The sequence below is a fragment of the Homo sapiens genome, chromosome 13 (assembly GCF_000001405.40).
Source record: "Homo sapiens chromosome 13, GRCh38.p14 Primary Assembly".
NCBI lineage: Eukaryota > Metazoa > Chordata > Mammalia > Primates > Hominidae > Homo > Homo sapiens.
In genome coordinates this window covers 27,248,567-27,266,410 of record NC_000013.11, presented here as the reverse complement: position 1 = coordinate 27,266,410, position 17,844 = coordinate 27,248,567, and the positions used below count along the sequence as shown (strand labels likewise).

General features: G+C 42.0%; 1 protein-coding gene and 2 non-coding genes across 3 annotated transcripts, besides 4 other annotated features; all 3 read right to left on the bottom strand.

The window, feature by feature from the left end:
- Positions 9,843-14,853, bottom strand: RPL21 (ribosomal protein L21). Its single transcript, NM_000982.4, has 6 exons — positions 14,826-14,853; positions 12,568-12,646; positions 12,130-12,191; positions 11,057-11,169; positions 10,077-10,227; positions 9,843-9,975 (listed from the first exon to the last, which is right to left on the bottom strand). The coding sequence occupies exons 2-6, from the start codon at positions 12,632-12,634 to the stop codon at positions 9,886-9,888; spliced, it is 483 nt and encodes a 160-aa protein (NP_000973.2). The 5' UTR covers positions 12,635-12,646; positions 14,826-14,853; the 3' UTR covers positions 9,843-9,885.
- SNORA27 (small nucleolar RNA, H/ACA box 27) lies at positions 10,885-11,010 on the bottom strand. The gene has a single exon (NR_002575.1). It is a non-coding gene; the product is annotated as a small nucleolar RNA, H/ACA box 27 (small nucleolar RNA).
- SNORD102 (small nucleolar RNA, C/D box 102) lies at positions 11,276-11,347 on the bottom strand. The gene has a single exon (NR_002574.1). It is a non-coding gene; the product is annotated as a small nucleolar RNA, C/D box 102 (small nucleolar RNA).
- Positions 14,350-15,549: an enhancer, noted in NCBI's record as "BRD4-independent group 4 enhancer chr13:27824999-27826198 (GRCh37/hg19 assembly coordinates)". NCBI's record gives its function as "activates an origin of replication core promoter dependent on BRD2, P300/CBP, MED14 and CDK7 cofactors, and independent of BRD4, by STARR-seq in HCT116 cells {active_cell/tissue: HCT116}" and the evidence as "EXISTENCE:reporter gene assay evidence [ECO:0000049][PMID:35650434]".
- Positions 14,360-14,945: an enhancer, noted in NCBI's record as "OCT4-NANOG-H3K27ac-H3K4me1 hESC enhancer chr13:27825603-27826188 (GRCh37/hg19 assembly coordinates)". NCBI's record gives its function as "activates a minimal SCP1, AML or CMV promoter by ChIP-STARR-seq in naive and primed H9 embryonic stem cells {active_cell/tissue: H9 hESC(naive and primed)}" and the evidence as "EXISTENCE:reporter gene assay evidence [ECO:0000049][PMID:30033119]".
- Positions 14,599-15,138: an enhancer, noted in NCBI's record as "active region_7501". NCBI's record gives its function as "activates an Ori minimal core promoter by ATAC-STARR-seq in GM12878 lymphoblastoid cells {active_cell/tissue: GM12878}" and the evidence as "EXISTENCE:reporter gene assay evidence [ECO:0000049][PMID:35858748]".
- Positions 14,946-15,531: an enhancer, noted in NCBI's record as "OCT4-NANOG-H3K27ac-H3K4me1 hESC enhancer chr13:27825017-27825602 (GRCh37/hg19 assembly coordinates)". NCBI's record gives its function as "activates a minimal SCP1, AML or CMV promoter by ChIP-STARR-seq in naive H9 embryonic stem cells {active_cell/tissue: H9 hESC(naive)}" and the evidence as "EXISTENCE:reporter gene assay evidence [ECO:0000049][PMID:30033119]".

The window sequence follows — 17,844 nt, the reverse complement described above, 5'->3', positions numbered from 1 at the left end:
TTTAATCTTGGCACATTCCACGGGTATGGAGGGCAGGGTGCAGAGCCGGGCACTGTGGCTCCCACCTGTAATCCAGCACTTTGGGAGGCCAAGGCAGGAGGATTGCTTGAAGCCAGTGTTCAACCCTGTCTCTACAAAAAAAGAAAAAAGAAGGAAATAAAAGAAAAGAAGGAGGGAGGGAGGGGAGGGGAGGAAGGAAGGGAGGGAGGGAGGGAGGAAGGAAAGGGGAAGGGAGGGGAGGGGAGGGGAGCAGAGGGGAAAGAAAAATTCGCCAGGCATGGTGGTGCATGCCTGTTGTCCCAGGTACTCAAGATGATGTGGTGGGAAAATTGCTTGAGCCCAAATCAAGGATGCAGTGAGCTGTGATCATACCACTGCACTCCAGCGTGGGCCAGAACAAGACCCTGCCTCAAAAAATTCAAAATTCAAAAAAAAAATACAAAATAAAGAAAGCAGGTTGTAGAACACTGTGTTGGTAATGGAAGGCCAGAGCAGGTCAGGATGCAAACTCCAACAGAGCTGCCACAGGGAGAGTTAGGTCTGATCCAAGTATCAGGGAAAGCTTCAGCATGAGCTGGGCTGCAGGTGAGTCAGGTGTGATCGGTGGAAACCAGGGGAGGGCGAAGGCCTGTCAAATTGAGGGAACAGCATGCGCAAAATCATGGAGGTACATGACAAGTGTGAGGAATTCTGAGTAGTCTCAACAGTGAGAAGGGTGTGGTAAGTGACCCAAAAGGCTGGGGGCCAGACTGTGAATGGCATGCTAAAAAGTTTATCCAGAGGCTATGGAAAGCCATTAATCATTTCTTGAGGAGAAGAGCTCCTTCTACAGTTGTTTCTCGGGTTATCTGTAGGGCTTTAGTTCCAGGACACACTGAGAATACCAAAATCCAGGGATGCTTAAGTCCCTGATATAAAAAGAGTGTTGTATTTTCATATAACCTATGCACATCCTTCCTACTTTATTTTTTGAGATGGAGTCTCACTCTGTTGCTCAGACTGGACTGCAGTGGTGTGATCTCGGCTCACTGCAACCTCCACCTCCCGGGTTCGAGCAATTCTCCCGCCTCAGCCTCCTGGGTAGCTGGGATTATAGGCGTGTGCCACCATACCCGGCTAATTTTTGTATTTTTAGTAGAGACTGGGTCTCACCATGTTGGCCAGGCTGCTCTCGAACTCCTGACCTCAAATGATCCACCCACCTTGGCCTCCCAAAGTGCTGGGACGATGGGCGTGAGCCACTGCGCCCGGCCCTTCCTTCCTACTTTAAATCATCTCTAGATTACTTATAATACCTAATACAATGTAAATGCTATGTAAATAGTTATACTGTATTGCTTAGGGAATGACAAGCAAAAAGTTTGTACATGTTCAGAACAGATGCAATTTTTTGTCCCAATATTTTCCATCCCAGCTTGGTTGAGTTCATGGATGCAGAACTCACAGATACAGACACAAAGAGCAGACTGTACATACAACAGTATGAGTACTAGGAGCTTACAAATAATAGGATATGGGCCTGGTGTGGTGACTCATGCCTGTAATCCCAGCATTTTGGGAGACCGAGGTGAGAGGAACCCTTGAGCCCAGGAGTTCAAGGCTGCAGTGAACTGTGATTGTGCCACTGCACTCCAGCCTGGGTGACCCTGTCTCAAAAAATAAAAACAAAACAAAATGATATGGTCTCTGACCTCAAAGATCTTAAAACTGTTTACTTACTCATCTCCCATGAGCAATTAATTTAATCTGAACCTCTCTTCCTTCTTAGGTGGAACCAAAAAAATCCAATCATCTTCACTTGAGCTAAGCCATCATCTCATTTTACAGAGACAGTAAAGAGTACCCCATTTATTTTCCAACCCAAATGATTTCCATAAATCCAAGTCTTGCTGGAGAAGTGTGTACGACAGCATTTGTGTGCCTCTTCCATTAGTGGCTTTGTGTGGTGGCCTGTCAGCAGCTCCTCGCCACACACGGCTGTTTGAAAAGAATCACAGTGCAGAGCCTCGGCTGCTTATTCACTCCTCTGTGCACATTTTCCACCTCAGCAACAGCAGCTGCAGCTGCTGCCTCACTGTTATTATTCATAACCTAGCAACTGGTCGAACAGATTCTGTGGAGAAGGATTTTTGCTATCAATTTTTTTCTAAGTGGAGCTGGGGTGAAGAAACATGCTATAAACACTCATTCCAAATAAATCCAACCCAGTTTTAAATCCTTTGTCTTGTGCACAAAAAAAGAGTAAGATAAACCTACCTTGTTCATATTTTAGCAATTCTTTATATTTTAGCAAATTTTCCATCCTAGTACAGAGAAAATGCTACTACAGGAGTGGGAATATGGAAGAGACAAGAACCTGAGTGTGTGTTTCTGCCACAACATTCAGAAGAAAACTTCAAAAAACAGTGTGATATATTTTATCTAACCCTTTGGGACTGGTTTCAACTGAATAAAAATAGAAGGCCTTAGAAAATACCTGGCTAGATCAGAACAGACTTCAGTTCAAAGTTCAAGGAACCACACAGCCTCACTTACAATCATGGCTATTACTTAAAAATAGGGTGAAAAAATTTATAGTTAGGATATTTTTCTTCATTTTCACTGACAAGTGTAAGAAGGGAAATTGGACAGTAAGAGGTTAATTTATAAATTCACAATCTGTGGTGGTTGCTCAGGACCTGCATTTCAAGGCAGACATGTAATCAGCACACACACACATTACTCAAAGTTCGGAGGTTCCAATTTAATTATCTCCCCACTTATAAAACCTAATCTGCAGGACATCCAGATGGAGCTGCCCAAGAGGAAGATGGAACTACAGATATGGGGCTTCAGAGAATGTGAGCTCTGCAACTGAGCCTCAAGTATCAGAGAAGGCTAAAGACGTAGACCAGTGGTTCTCAAAATTGAGCATGCATCTTATTCACTCAGAGAGCTTGTTAAATAGAGTGCTGGGCCCCATCCCCAGTATTTCAGATTTGGAGGGTCTTGGGCAAGTCTGCATTTTTTTTTTTTTTTTTTTTTTGAGACGGAGTCTCGCTCTGTCGCCCAGGCTGGAGTGCAGTGGCACAATCTTGGCTCGCTGCAAGCTCCGCCTCCCGGGTTCACGCCATTCTCCTGCCTCAGCCTCCCGAGTAGCTGGGACTACAGGCGCCTGCCACCACACCCGGCTAATTTTTTGTATTTTTTAGTAGAGACGGGGTTTCACTGTGTTAGCCAGGATGGTCTCGATCTCCCGACCTCGTGATCCGCCCACCTCAGCCTCCCAAAGTGCTGGATTACAGGCGTAAGCCACCGCGCCCTGGCCAGGTCTGCATTTTTAACAAGATCTCAGATGATGCTGATGCTGCCAGCTGGGAGATCATACTTTAAGAACCTCTGGCTTAGATAACCCAGGAATAATTTATAAAGGAGAGAGAGACAAATGTGGAACATCTAGGAGGGGCCAGAATGAGGCTAGAAGGGGGTCAGATAGGGAGAAGAAACAGTAAAGTATGATGGCAGAACCCTCTGCAAGAGAAAGCATTTGTTGGCTGTGTCAATTATTATGTGGATAAAATTAAATTGGAAAAAAGTATCTACATTTGTTAATTAGCAAGCTTTTCGTAACCTTTAAGAGTACAGTTTCATCAGTGGTGGAGGCGGAAGCCAGATTTGCAGTGGGCGACCAGGAAATTTAGCTATGAAAGGGAGGAGGAAGGCACAACAGGAAGGGCTGCTTGGTTTATTTGCTGGTTTTTGCAAGCCTGCAGGCTGAAGTCAAAAAAGCAGCAAGTTGGGCTGGGCGTGGTGGCTCACGCCTGTAATTCCAAAACTCTGGGAGGCCGAGGCGAGCAGATCACCTGAGGTCAGGAGTTCGAGACCAGTCTGGCCAACATGGCAAAACCCCATCTCTACTAAAAATACAAAAAAATTAGCTGGGTGTGATGGAGGGCACCTGTAATCCCAGCTACTCGGGAGGCTGAGGCAGAATTTCTTGAACCCAGGAGGCGGAGGTTGCAGTGAGCCAAGATCACGCCACTGCATAGACCAGGATAATCAGTGAAACAAGAGGGCAGAGGCAAGAGCCCTGTCAATACCAACTCTTTCCTCTTTTACCCTCCTTGATACCTTGTTTTATGAAGGGATTTAGGTCTTACTGTTCCTCCTATACTGTCACCTCCTTAATAAGGCTTTATGATGTGTCTTTTTTCCCTTCATTCCACAGTAGAGTAGGTACCAGTAAACATCCCCTTACTGGCCAGGTGCGCTGGCTCACGCCTATAAATCCCAACACTTTGGAAGGCCGAGGTGGGCAGATCACTTGAGCCCAGGTGTTCAAGATTAAGTCTGGGCAATATGGCGAAACCCCATCTCCACTAAAACACAAAAATTAGCCGGGCGTGGTGGCATGCTCCTATAGTCCCAGCTACTCAGGAGGCTGAAGCAAGAGGATCACTCGAGCCCAGGTATTCGAGGCTGCAGTGAGCCTTGATCGTGTCACTGCACTCCAGCCTGGGTGACGAGGGAGACACTGTGAAAGAAAAAAAATTCCCCTTGATAAAGATCTATAGATACAAGTTGATAAAAACTCAGACGACTAAACAAAACATATATTGTGTAATGATAAGTACTATAACTTATAATATAGAAAATGAATAAAGTCTGTATAGGATATTGAGATCTTGATAAAATTCGAGCAGAGGCTGACTAAAGGGGACAAATCATGGGGAAGGATGAAGGAAATGCATTCCTTCATAGCATAACACGCTCCTTCAAAAGCATTCCTTCATATTTTGTACTTCAACTTACTTACAAAAGCCCTCAGGCACGAATGCACTTGGCATATTAAAGGCACAGCGAGAAGGCTCATGAAATTGGATCTGACTTTGGGGCAGGAAGTGGTACAAGACTAGGTCGCAAAGGTAGCTATAGTACAGATAATGTAGGGTTTTGTAGGCCATGATAATCATCAGAATATAAATGGTATTCAAAGCCATGAGGCTAAATCTCACCTGAAGTATAAAGGTACTTCAATATTTGGAGGTCAGAAAGACAGAACCAGCAAAGACTGCAGATCAGGTAAAAGGAAACCAGGAGAGGGTTCCAGAAGCTAACTGAAGCCAAACTCAATAATAAGTATTTTCTCTCACCAAAGTAGCAAAGATTAAATTAAAATAATCAATGCTGATGAGAATGCTGTGAGACAAGCATGTTCCCTGGAAGGTGGAGTGCAAACTGGTATAACCCTTTGGTAAATCAATTCATCAGTGAATCAATAATTTGAAAAACACATATTCTTCAACCCAGTATTGTGCGAGAAAATCTATTTTTGAAGATTAATCCAAAATACTAAAATTTTATGTATATTCATAGTATTGCCACTGATTGTTTTAAAAATTGCTATGCTGTACATCAAATAGGAAGAGTTCATTTTCTGAATATCTGTGCTAAGGATAGTAGTTCCCCTAAGTCAATTCGGCATGTCATCGTTTTCTCTCATGCCCAACTTCATCAGCCCCTCTGAATTGACACCTCATATCCTCATTTCCTTGTTGACAAGTCACAATTTACTTATTTCATCTGGTTGTGTTAAAATATGAAATCATAGACCTAAATGCACCAAGGGCCTATAGGAATCATTTTATCCAACCCCTTATACTCAGGTAGGTGATACCACTTTACTGATGAGGCAACAAAAAGTGAAGGTAACATGACTTGTTGGAGAATGAACAAAAGAATGTTTAAGGTCTCCTGATCTTTGCACGTTACATGGGAGGTTTAACAATCCTACATATTCATATGCAAAATGGTTACAAGTCCTCAAAATTCAGAAAACACTATAGTTTTGTAAAGATTGAACACAGACATATCTATCCTTTTTTTTTTTTAAAGAGCAGTCTTTTTCTCATTATCCTCTCGTTAATTTGAAGGGCATTTATTGAATGCTTACTATTTTCCAGGCATGAAGAGTGCAAAATTTAGTAAGAGACAGTCCCTAAACTCAGGTGTAGTGGGGAAGACAGAACCTTACAAGTTAAAAACACTGTAACAGAAGCAAACACATCTGTCATGGGAACAAAGATGTGGGGGATTTTATTACAACCAGAAGTATCTCTCTTCTCCGATTCCAAGAGCTTTCTTCATTCCTCTCCTTAAAATACTTCCATCAGGGAAGGTATCATCTATGAGATAATACAGGGTGAGTGCTAAAGGACAAGCAGGAACTCATCAAGTGACCAAAGGAAAGCCTAAATGTTTCAGGCAAAGGCAAGTGCATGTGCAAAGAACTTGAAAAAACCTATTTCCCTAATATCTAAAGCATAAAGTAGGAAGGCAGTAACAGGAAGTGAAAGGGAAAACAAGCAGAAACCAGATTACAAAGGGTCACATACATGACGGTATCACGTGTTTGCACACTCATCCAATTGTCTAAACTCATCAAACTGTACACACTGAAGGTGCAGTTCTTTGTTATCAATCATACCTCAACAAAGCTGTTACAAAAAATAATGTGGTCTTCCAGACACTATCTGGTACCCACCACCCACCCACCCACACACTAACTTATTGGAGTCTTCTGGGATCCACTTGGTAGTCAAACAGCACAGCAAACAGAGTAACTCTTTGGCATAAGAGGATCATGGGTTCAAGTCCCAACTCTGCCACTTTCTGGCAGTGTAACCACTGGTGAGTTATTCTCCCTTCTTGAGTCTTTTATCTTATTCATAAAACATGGTAGTCCCCACATCTCAAAGCAGCCAGGAAGATGAAACAGATCAAGTGGTCAACAAATGTTGTTAGGCATATAATACCAATTCATTAATAGAGCTCAATTTTATGGATGCTCTCTGAAGCAGATAAATGGTAAACAGGGAAACATACCACACCCCCTCCCCCAACAAAAGGAGGCCACATATACTCTTAAAACCTAAATATTAGTAAATTCTAGATTCACTGGAAGGCAATGACTTAATTTTGGACATCCAAAATACTCCTGGCACGCATTTGTAAAGAAACAACGCAAAATTCTCAATTAGCAACAGAATATGAAACAAAAGTTGGTCGTAACTGAATATTCACTGTAACATCATGATGTGCTTTGTAAGTATTCCCATCTAATTCTCAAAAATCACCCTTTTAGGGGCACTTTTATTATCTCCTTCCACGTAAGAAAACTTAGTCATATTGGTCAATTTGCTATGTATTAACAGAATGAGTAAGTGTGGACTCTGGAAGCTGCTTTAATGAAGGGAAGAAGGCAAGTGTGACTAAAGGGACAGGCTGTGAGGACTTCAACTAGATGCATTGTTGAGCCATGAACTATGATTGGAAAATACACAGGACTAATGTGATAATTATGTTTACATGCAACTCTCCACTACTAGAATGTGAATCCTTAGGGGCAGTTATTCAGAGATTCATATCCAGGTGTGAGGGATCCCAAAGCTGTACATACCACCCATCTCGCTTCATTAGAAAAAACTCAAGACCACCAACTAGACTTTTCTCCATTCACACTAAAAAATGGTTTTTTTTGAGACAGGGTCTTGCTCTGTCACCCAGGCTGTAGTGCGGTGACACAATCACAGCAGACTGTAGCCTTGACCTCCTGGACTCGTGATCCTCCCACCTCAGCCTCCCAAAGTGTTGGGATTACAGGTGTGAGCCACTGTGCCTGATCTTTCATAGCATTTAGTAAATATTACTAGGTCTTTGCCTTACACAGCAAATACACCCCAAGTAGGTAGCAACAAGACTGACTGTGTAGAATCTCAAAGGTTAGATAAAATCAATTAGGGGATGAAATGGACTTACAGTCAGTAAGATTAGTGAGGATACATTTCAAGGACCCATGTTTGCTAAGTAAAGGTTTCCAATTGAATGGTACTGTTTTAATATGTCCTCTCCAAAATTCATGATGAAACTTAATCCCCATTGTTGCAAAGAAATTGCCATCAGTCATGCACTGCTGGTAGAAACGTAAAATGGTAGAAAACTCTCTGGAAAACAGTTTAGCAGTTTCTCAGAAACCTAAACATGGAACTACCGTTAAGACCCAGCAACTGCACTCTTGGACATTTATCCCAGAGAAACGAAAACTTACATTCACACAAAAACCTGTACATGAATTCTCCTAACAGCCTTAAAAACAACAGCTAACAACTGGTAATAACCCAAATGTCTTTTAGCAGGTCAATGACTAAACAAACTGTGATACGTTCATACCGTGAATTGTACTGAGCAATAGAAATACACACAATACACGAAACAACTTGGATGCACCTTCAGAGAAAGATGCATCCGAAAAAGGCAAAAAAGTCAAAAAAGGCAAAGGGTCACATCTAACTTACATGATTCCTGGTCATTCCCATTCTTGAAATGACAAAGAAATGAAGGCTAGCTTGGTGCTTGCTAGGGATCAGTGGGGATGAGGGGAGATAGAGGTGGTCTGACTACGTAAGGCAACATGAGGTATCTTGTGGCGTTAGAACTGTTCTACATATTGACTTTATGCTTATCACTTTTTTCTTAAGATGGAGTCACTCTGTTCCCCAAGCTGGAGTGCAGTGGCATAATCTCGGCTCACTGCAATATCTGCCTCCCAGGTTCAAATGATTCTCTTGCCTCAGCCTCCAGAGCAGCTGGGATTACAGGTGCTCACGATGGCAGGCTCATTTTTGTATTTAAATACAGACGGGTTTCACCATGTTGGCCAGGCTGGTCTCAAACTCCTGACCTCAAGTGATCCACCCACCTCGGCCTCGCAAAGTGCTGGGATTACAGGCATGAGCCACCATGGCCGCCTATTATCAATATCTTGATTGTGAAACTGCACTACAGCTTTGTAAGATGTTATCATCGACAAACAGTATACAGTGTACAAGGGATCTCTATTATTTGTAACTCCATGTAAATCTGCAATTATCTCAAAATAAAACATTCAATTAAAAAAAAAAAGGAACTCCCATTGTGGCAGTTATCAAGAGGTAAGTTAAGGCCAAACCTTCACAAGACACCGAACCTGCCAGCACCTTTACCTTGGGACATCAGAGCCTCCAGAACCACCACATAAGCTTCTACTGCTTACCCAGGTCTGTGGTATATTGTTACAGCAAGACAACGGCCTAAGACAAATGCTATTACCACTATTATTTTGAGTCCTGTTCCATGCATGGTCAAAGCAATTCCAAGCTAGTATATAACACACAAAGAATGGATGCTTTAAACAATCTTTTTTTTTTTTTTAAGGATTCAAAAGCAAACTCTGGATCCTGAGCTTAACTGTTACGCAATAGATGACATCCCACTTATTTTTGTATGTTTTATTTGTCCTGGCACAGTAGCTCACACCTGTAATCCCAGCACTTTGGGAGGCCAAGGCAGGTGGATCACGAGGTCAGGAGTTTGAGACCAGACTTATAAACATGGTGAAACCCTGTCTCTACTAAAGATACAAAAATTAGCCAGGCGTGGTGGCACGCGCCTATAATCCCAGCTACTCAGCAGGCTGAGGCAGAATTGCTTGAACCCAGGAGGCAGATGTTGCAGTGAGCCGAGATCACACCATTGCACTCCAGCCAGGTTGACAGAGCAAGACTGTCTCAAAAAAAAAATATTTTATTTCTTCCTTGATGATTTAGAAGGACTATCTTCAAACCAGTACAAGTATTTCATATATAATACCTCGCCATTTTCTGAGTAATTTGTTGCACAATAAGCTACCTCATGTCCTTCAGCAAGAAATACATTAAATTTGAATAGCAAGGACATTACATAATGAATTAGGACACAACCAAAATTTGCTTTAAATATTTCTTTGGGGGAGAGGACACCACACTTCTACTCAATGAAGAGAAACATTTTTGTAGCCCAGAGGTCCTTTATTTTTTTTTTTAACACCTATTATGCCATGAATTCATAGGGAATAGGTTCCAGCAGCTCAGGCTCCTTCCCATTGGTTCTCACAAAGTGTGCTTCTCTGGGTGGAGCAGGCTATTAAAGGAAAAAAAAAGGGAATAAAATAATTATGTGATGTGTTAAATCTCAACCTTAAAGTGCTCTCAGAACCAATGAAATATACACCAAATTCTTACCTGGCGCTTTAGTTGAACCCAGGTACCTTTCTCTTTGGCTTCTTTCTTTTTCTGATCATTTTCCTTCACACGTTTCAGGAAGCTATCTCGGCTCTTAGAGTGCTTAATGTGCTCAATACGCACATTAATTCTCTTGGCAAGAATCTTGCCCCTGGACAGAGCAGAAATTCTTTTAAGTGCTTTAACAAAAATATAACAGAAATGTAGAAAACTGATTTTGCAGTTTCATTTATTAAATAAACCATAAACCTTTTACCCAGATATGACAAATCAACAAAGTATGCCTTGATTACTTAATTTACAATCAATTAATCATATCAGAAGAGGCCTTGCAGAGAACATCCCTACTTTTAACTCTCTTTGATGAGATGATGGTCTCTTAAACTCTAGTAATCTAAAACCAGACTGCTAATAAAATTTAAAAGTTTACTAAACTTCTCTTTTTATTCTATAAAAACTGCTGGGCCAGGCGCGGTGGCTCATGCCTGTAATCCCAGCACTTTGGGAGGCCGAGGCAGGCAGATCACGAGGTCAGGAGATTGAGACCATCCTGGCTGACACAGTGAAACCCTGTCTCTACTAAGAATACAAAAAATTTAGCTGGGCATGGTGGTGGGCGCCTGTAGTCCTAGCTACCCCAGAGGCTGAGGCAGGAGAATGGCGTGAACCCAGGAGGTGGAGCTTGCAGAGAGCAGAGATCCCACCACTGCACTCCAGCCAGGGCGACAGAGCAAGACTCCGTCTCGAAACAAAACAAACAAACCGCTTAGTAACTAACTGTGTAAGACTTTCCAGTAAATCTATTTCAATTTGTTTCCTCTGACAGGATACAGACAAACACCCAGTTTGCCTGAGTTTTAAAAGGATATTTCCTTTGCCCCACTTGAATGACCAATAAAGACATAAGTCCAACTGGCAAAGTGAAAAGGGGGTATATGAGGGAATACTGGTTAGCCACAAAGAACTACAACACTACTTACTTAACTTGTTTGTTTACAACAATGCCAACAGCATGCTGGGTAACATTGTAGACTCTTCCAGTTTTGCCATGGTAACACTTGTGGGGCATTCCTTTTTGAACAGTACCCATTCCCTATTAAAGAAACCAATGTTATATACCAGCATTTCCCCTTCCTTTAAAATTCTGACTTTAAGTAACTGCAAAGTATTCTAAGATTTCTTTCAAATGGCAACTCAAGAGCTTTCAGAGCCGGTGAAATGTGTTTTTCACATTGCTTCAAGCAATCAAAAAAAACAGTCATCATTAAGCTCGAGTGCCAAGATACATTTAAATCCAGGTCACAGAAGAACACAGCTTTCACTAGGAGGGTTTTTAATCATAGTAATAGTAATCTTCATCAATAATTAAACTTTGCACTAAGGCGTTCCTTTCCAACTTGATAAACTCATAATTTCCCACCCTACCACCCAATTTCCACTAGCTGTTAACTCCAAGCGGGTAATGAGGAAAATTTAAATTCTGCTAAGAATAGCACTTTAAAAAATCCATTCTAGGCCGGGCACGGTGGTTCACACCTGTAATAATCCCAGCACATTGGGAGGCTGAGTCCGGCGGATCACCCGAGGTGTTCAAGACCAGCCTGACCAACATGGAGAAACCCCTTCTCTACTAAAAATACAAAATTAGCCAGGAATCATGGTGCATGCCTGTAATCCCAGCACATTGGGAGGCTGAGTCCAGCAGATCACCCGAGGTGTTCAAGACCAGCCTGACCAACATGGAGAAACCACTTCTCTACTAAAAATACAAAATTAGCCAGGTATCATGGTGCACGCCTGTAATCCCAGCTATTTGGGAGGCTGAGGCAGGAGAACTGCTTGAATCCGGGAGGGAGGCGGAGGTTGAGGTGAGATCATGCCATTGCACTCCAGCCTGAGCAACAAGAGTGAAACTCCGTCTCCAAAAAAAAAAAAAAAAAAATCCATTCTATACTCTTACAGATGCAACATACACTAGTATTTGAATTCCTACACTAGATTAAATCCAACTTTTCTATCTTCTGTAGTGTTATTTTCCCAATTTTATGTTTACCTTGATGTCTACAATATCACCTTTCTTATAGATTCGCATATATGTGGCCAAAGGAACAACTCCTACAAAAATAAATTTGGTATAGTGAGTATTAAGGCTAAAAATCTAGAGTAAAAGAAATGCAATTTTACTAGCTTTTAACACATATATCATTTTTGATGGTTACATGCTTATTATCTTCCCAATGGACAATTTCTCCTGACAGCACAATCAGCCTACTAAATCACAACCTCTCTCCAAAGTTTAATCTTGCATCAATACTTAGTCACAAAATCACCATATAATTTTGGTAATTTATTTACCTTATCACGAAATAAGCTGGGTAGACGCTAGTTATTTAATTCTATTGATACACATTCTATGAACTACAACACATGTTGAACACAACAGAACACAAATGTGTGCCATGCTTCTCTCAAGGAAGGTAAACCTACTTACCATGTTTTCTAAAAGGCCTAGAGAACATATATCGGGTGCCTCTCCTCTTTCCCTTTGTGTTCGTCATTTTGGCGAATTACTGAAACCAGAAAGCAGAACAGTCAAATACGACTGAAAACTGGCATTTGCCCCAAACCCCTGTAATTTCAAATGTTCACATTTCAGTAGCGAAGTGAGAACTGCAAACTGAAAGCTGGATCACCAAGCAGTTAGTTCTGTTGAAAGGTTAAAAAATCATTATTTTAGCAAGTAAGGTCTTTTGGCAAAACTGCCCAAGTTCTATAACATCAAAACTCTTAAGGAGCAGAACTTGATACGAGAATCCAAACTAGTACCCTTTCTCTATGAGAATATAAAAACACAACAGGACTTCTACCACACTCTATCTGTAGAACCCAATTTAGAATGCCAAGGGCATGTAATTACTAACTAGAAGATAATTTAGTGGAGAACACAATAAAACAGCCTTACATTTTTATGTGAATTAAACCTTTCTTGTCAACCAAATTTTCCGTGATGGTGTATCTCAAACATCATCTATTTAACTATCAGAAATCTCAAGCCACTTCACATTTCTGATTATTTACTACGAACGTATATAGGGTAGAAGAGAGGGGAACCCAGGCTTTATAATCATTGACCTAAATTTGACATAGGCTCTGCCACTTACTAGCTGGGACACCCACATTTCATCTCTCATCTTCATTTGTAAAATAGGGGTGAACACTTTCGTAGCTGAGGTAATGTCTACAAAGAACTCAGCAATGCTTGGCCCGTGTAAAGTGCTCAGTAGTAACCGGCAGCTAATTTATCATTATCTAAGAATTCACCTACAGGCATTTAGAAATTAACCTTTCCTTTGTTTCCCAAAAAGGCCAAAACAATAGTTTTGATAGCTCTTTAGTCATTATAGGGCAGAAATGCCATTCCTGGCCATTACTCCTACCATAAGGTAAAATACAGCAGTCAGGCTTGACGTGTTGACAATATTCTAACACAATTTGGTTTCTAAGTTTACCAACAATCCTTTAAGAATGGCTCCCAAAGTACCATTTTTATAAAAATTGTATAGCAAGAAGACATGTTTCACCTAACTCACCAAAGTCAAACCATTGTTACAATGGATGAACCCTTTAAATGCCAGGTACTCTGTTCCAATCCCCAAAGCCTTTAGATGTGTATAAAGTTCCAAAAACTTGTGCTAAGTTAGTACACAAAGGGTGATACTGTGTAGATTCAAGTCACTTTGTGGAATCACCAAGTGGCATAATCAGTTAACTCATTCCTGATTCCAGAGCCCATAATCCTCCACTAGATCCATCTTTCTGAGTTTGGAATCCATTTTAAGCATGGACCCCATACACTTAAAACTGAAGGCACTTTTCAAAACGATGCTTTACAGTTTGTAAGAGTATTAAAATCATGGCAACTAGGATCCACCATAAAGAGCAACCTGCAGTTTGCTCGACTCTGTTGACGTCCACAAACTAGACAAAATGATGAACTATGGCTAAATGTTTCCCTTCACTCAAAGCATGCTGCCCTAGAATTCGCAAAACAGTATCTCCTCTTGGTGCAAATATTGGTGTTGCAACCTCAAAACACTTTCCCTTCGTCCGATCACCATGTGGGGTCAAAATTTTAAAAACAGTCGGAAATCGTCTTATGCATTAACTAAGGGCAGTGAGGGTTCATCACCCAGGACGACTCCGGGACCCACTCTCCGACCGAGAGCCCGGGTTTTCACACCTGTAGGCTTCACAGAAGATTAAAGCCGACGCCTGACTTTAAACCCATTCCTACTACCCCTTAAGTCCTCACCCAACATCATCGCAAGATTTGGAATAAAAAAGCCACACTGAAAGGAGTTAGAAAGGCATCAGGCCACGCGGCCCCCACACAGCCTATGTGAGAGGGGCCACCCACAGTACCGGAGATGCAGCCACGGGAACATAAAACGAAGTCTTTTAAAGATTAACTCGAGTCGCCTCACCCCAAGCGACTCAGTCTCGTCTTTCTCGCAAATGTCCCCCCGCAGGGCCGCAACATCGCAGTCCGGTTCTCAGCCCACGGCCCAGACCCGACCCGGCGCACGCTGCTCCCCGTCTGGCAGAACATGGTTTAACCCGCCCATGCCAATGGACCTCAAACAGGTTAGAGAGTCTCCCCACGGTCCCAATGAACGACCTCTGAGGCCACAAGGTCGCGGTTCAAGTCTGTCGAACACCTAGCGCCCGGGAGCCACGCGTAGGCCCTACCTGGAAGATGGCGGTTCCGGCCGAAAGGAAAGAGGCGGGGCCGCGGCGCGCGCCTTACAAGGGCCTGTGGGCTGCCCACGGCGCTGCCTGAGGGAAACGCCAACCGTAAGCGACTTCTTTCTAGGGAAGAAGATCGTCTCTGAGAACACAGAAAGTCTGTGAGGATATTTTCCCCTCTTGCGAAAGAAAGGCAACCGGCCAACACAAGCTGACACTTGCATCGTGTCAGACAGCCCGGAAAGGGGCCTTCAAGGGCGATCAAGAGGACGCCGTCGTCCCGAGCGTGCTTACGCCATCCTTTGCGTCACCGCCTTCGCCGGAAGCTGCCTTGTATCCGCGTCTCCGCAGGGAAAACTGCGGCTGGCGGTGCGGGAAGTGCTATTAGTAGTTGTTTATTTGTTTGTTTGCAGAAATAATTGCTTGGGTACGAAGGTCAAACGAGAATGAAGCAAGTATATTATCTAGTTTGTATGTCTTTAAATAGTTTCTCCTCCACACGTCTAAACATACGCACCTGCTAGTAGGTGCGCAAATGTTAAAACCTCTTTGGGAAAGCAATGTGGCAAAATCTAGTAAAAGTTTTCAATTACTAAACCCCAGCACTCTGCTCCTACCTATATGTCTTGTAGAAACTTTGGTAAGTGAACAAGGATGTACGTAACAGCGCTGTGGGTAGAAGCAAAAAATTAGAAACGTCCATCAATAACAGAATAAATACCTTATGGGATGTTAGGATGTAGTATTATACGCCAATAAAAGAAGACTGAACTCAGAAATGTGATGAGGCAAAAAGAGAAAGATGTAGAAAAATAAATAGTATGACAATTCATATACATTCAACTCTAAAACTTGTAAAACAATGCTATATATTGCTTAGTTATGCATACATATGTAGTTAAAGAAGTCAAGAAATACAAGAGAATGAAAATCAAGTTGAGAAAAGCAGTCATATCTGGTAAGGAGGGGACAATAAAGGGAGGCTTTAACTGTATTGACCATTATTAAACCGGGTGTTAAATATATGGGTGGCCATTGTTTTATTCACTACACCTTTAAAAATAGATATTATTTTCTTAATGTAGTTTATTTAAATTGAGATAATGCCATATACCCAGCATCCAGTTTCCCCTATTATTAACATCTCATGCTAATATGGTACATTTGTTGCAATTAATGAACCAATATTTTACACTGTTATTAACTAAGGTTCACATTTTATTCAGATTTCCTTCGGTTTTACCTAATACCCTTTTTCTGTTCCAGGATTCCATCCAGAATACCACATTACATTTAGTTATGATGTCTCCTTATATGCCTCTTGTGGCTGTGGCAGTTTCTCAAACTTTCCTTACTTTTGGTGACCTTGAGAGTTTTGAGGAGTACTGGTCATGTATTTTGTAGGATGTCCTAATCATGGAATTTGTCTCATGTTTTTCTCATGATTGTATGTATTTTTAGGATGCATTTTTAAAAAGTCAGCTAAGTTAACAAAATCCCTTATCAGACTGAATATAAATAATATCGTCCAGTCGCTTTTGAAATTTGCATGTCTTCGACTCACTCTCCTGATGCACCTGAAAGTTGTAATTTCTAAGAACTGCGTCAGCACCATTTTTTAAATGTGTACATTCTGTGACCATCGTCATCAGCACTTAACATCATTTGCTGAAGAACTTGAGGAGGAATAGGATTTGGTATTGATTCCTTCAATACGTTGACTCCTCCAGACTTTCACTGTAACCATTAGCCCTTGGCTTCTAGATTGTCTTTAACTTAATTTTCTGTAGTTCATTATTACAGTCACTCTGTTAGCACTCACTTCCTCAGGTCACTTTTCCTTTCCCATTACTTTCTTTCTTTCTTTGAGAGGGAATTTTGTTCTTGTTGCCCAGGCTGGAGTGCAGTGGCGCGACATCGACTCACCACAACCTCTGCCTCCCGGGTTCAAGCGATTCTCTTGCCTCAGGCTCACGAGGAGTAGCTGGGATTACAGGCGCCCGCCACCACACCTGGCTGATTTTTTTGTTTTTAGTAGCGACGAGGTTTCACCATGTTGGCCAGGCTGGTCTCCAACTCCTGACCTCAGGTGATCCACCCGCCTCCACCTCCCAAAGTGCTGGGATTATAGGCGTGAGCCACCGCGCCTGGCCCCCATCACTTTCTTAGCACATACCGAACCTTGGATAAATGCAACCGTGACAGTACCTCCACAGCTGAGCACCGTTGAAGAAAATCTTGTAATCTGGTGTGATGACAAATCAGAAACTAGTCATCCATGCACTATATTTTTTTGCACTTGGAAATATTTTTTTGAGCCCATAGAGTGTTTTAAAAATTAACATATCAAAAAAAAAAGATTTCTGGCTTCCCTTGAGAAATCAGGAGATCTGGCAGCATAGAGCTGATAGTCTTGATGGCCACTCCACTGGCTTCCCCTTTAGATGGGGCATTCATTCTTGAGTTCCTTCATCACTCAGCCTGCTTCAGTCATTTACCTGCCTGGCTCCTGTTGGCATTTGTGTTTTTAGCCTCTCCCATAAATTCACGACCAACCCTTAACAAATGGGTACTGTACTGTTTAGCATCCCCACTACAGTTCCCCAGTTAATTTGCTTACCTGCTGTCAAAAAAAAAATTAAGCTTTTACATAATTAAAGTTAGTTTTATTCAGAAGTCTCACTGAGGACTGTAGACCAAGGTTTATACCCTGAGGGCAGTTCTTTCACAGGGCTCCAAAGTGGTCCCTCAGCCCATTGCTTCTATGTAGGTTGTGGGGGTTCTGTATGTGTGAAATCTCATTAAAGTTTGGGTGTAAGAGTACATCAGTTTATAGATTACTAAAGTAATTTGGTTATAGATTGTAGAAGCATAATCACTAACCCTGTCAGACATCTTCATGTAGGAAAAGGCAAGGTCAAGTTCATTTACTGTTTCAGGAACGTTGTAACTCAGGCGAGTGACACGGGGGGCCGTGTGCTCTATCCTGTTTTAAGATTCTTCCTGAGGAGCTGCATTTCAT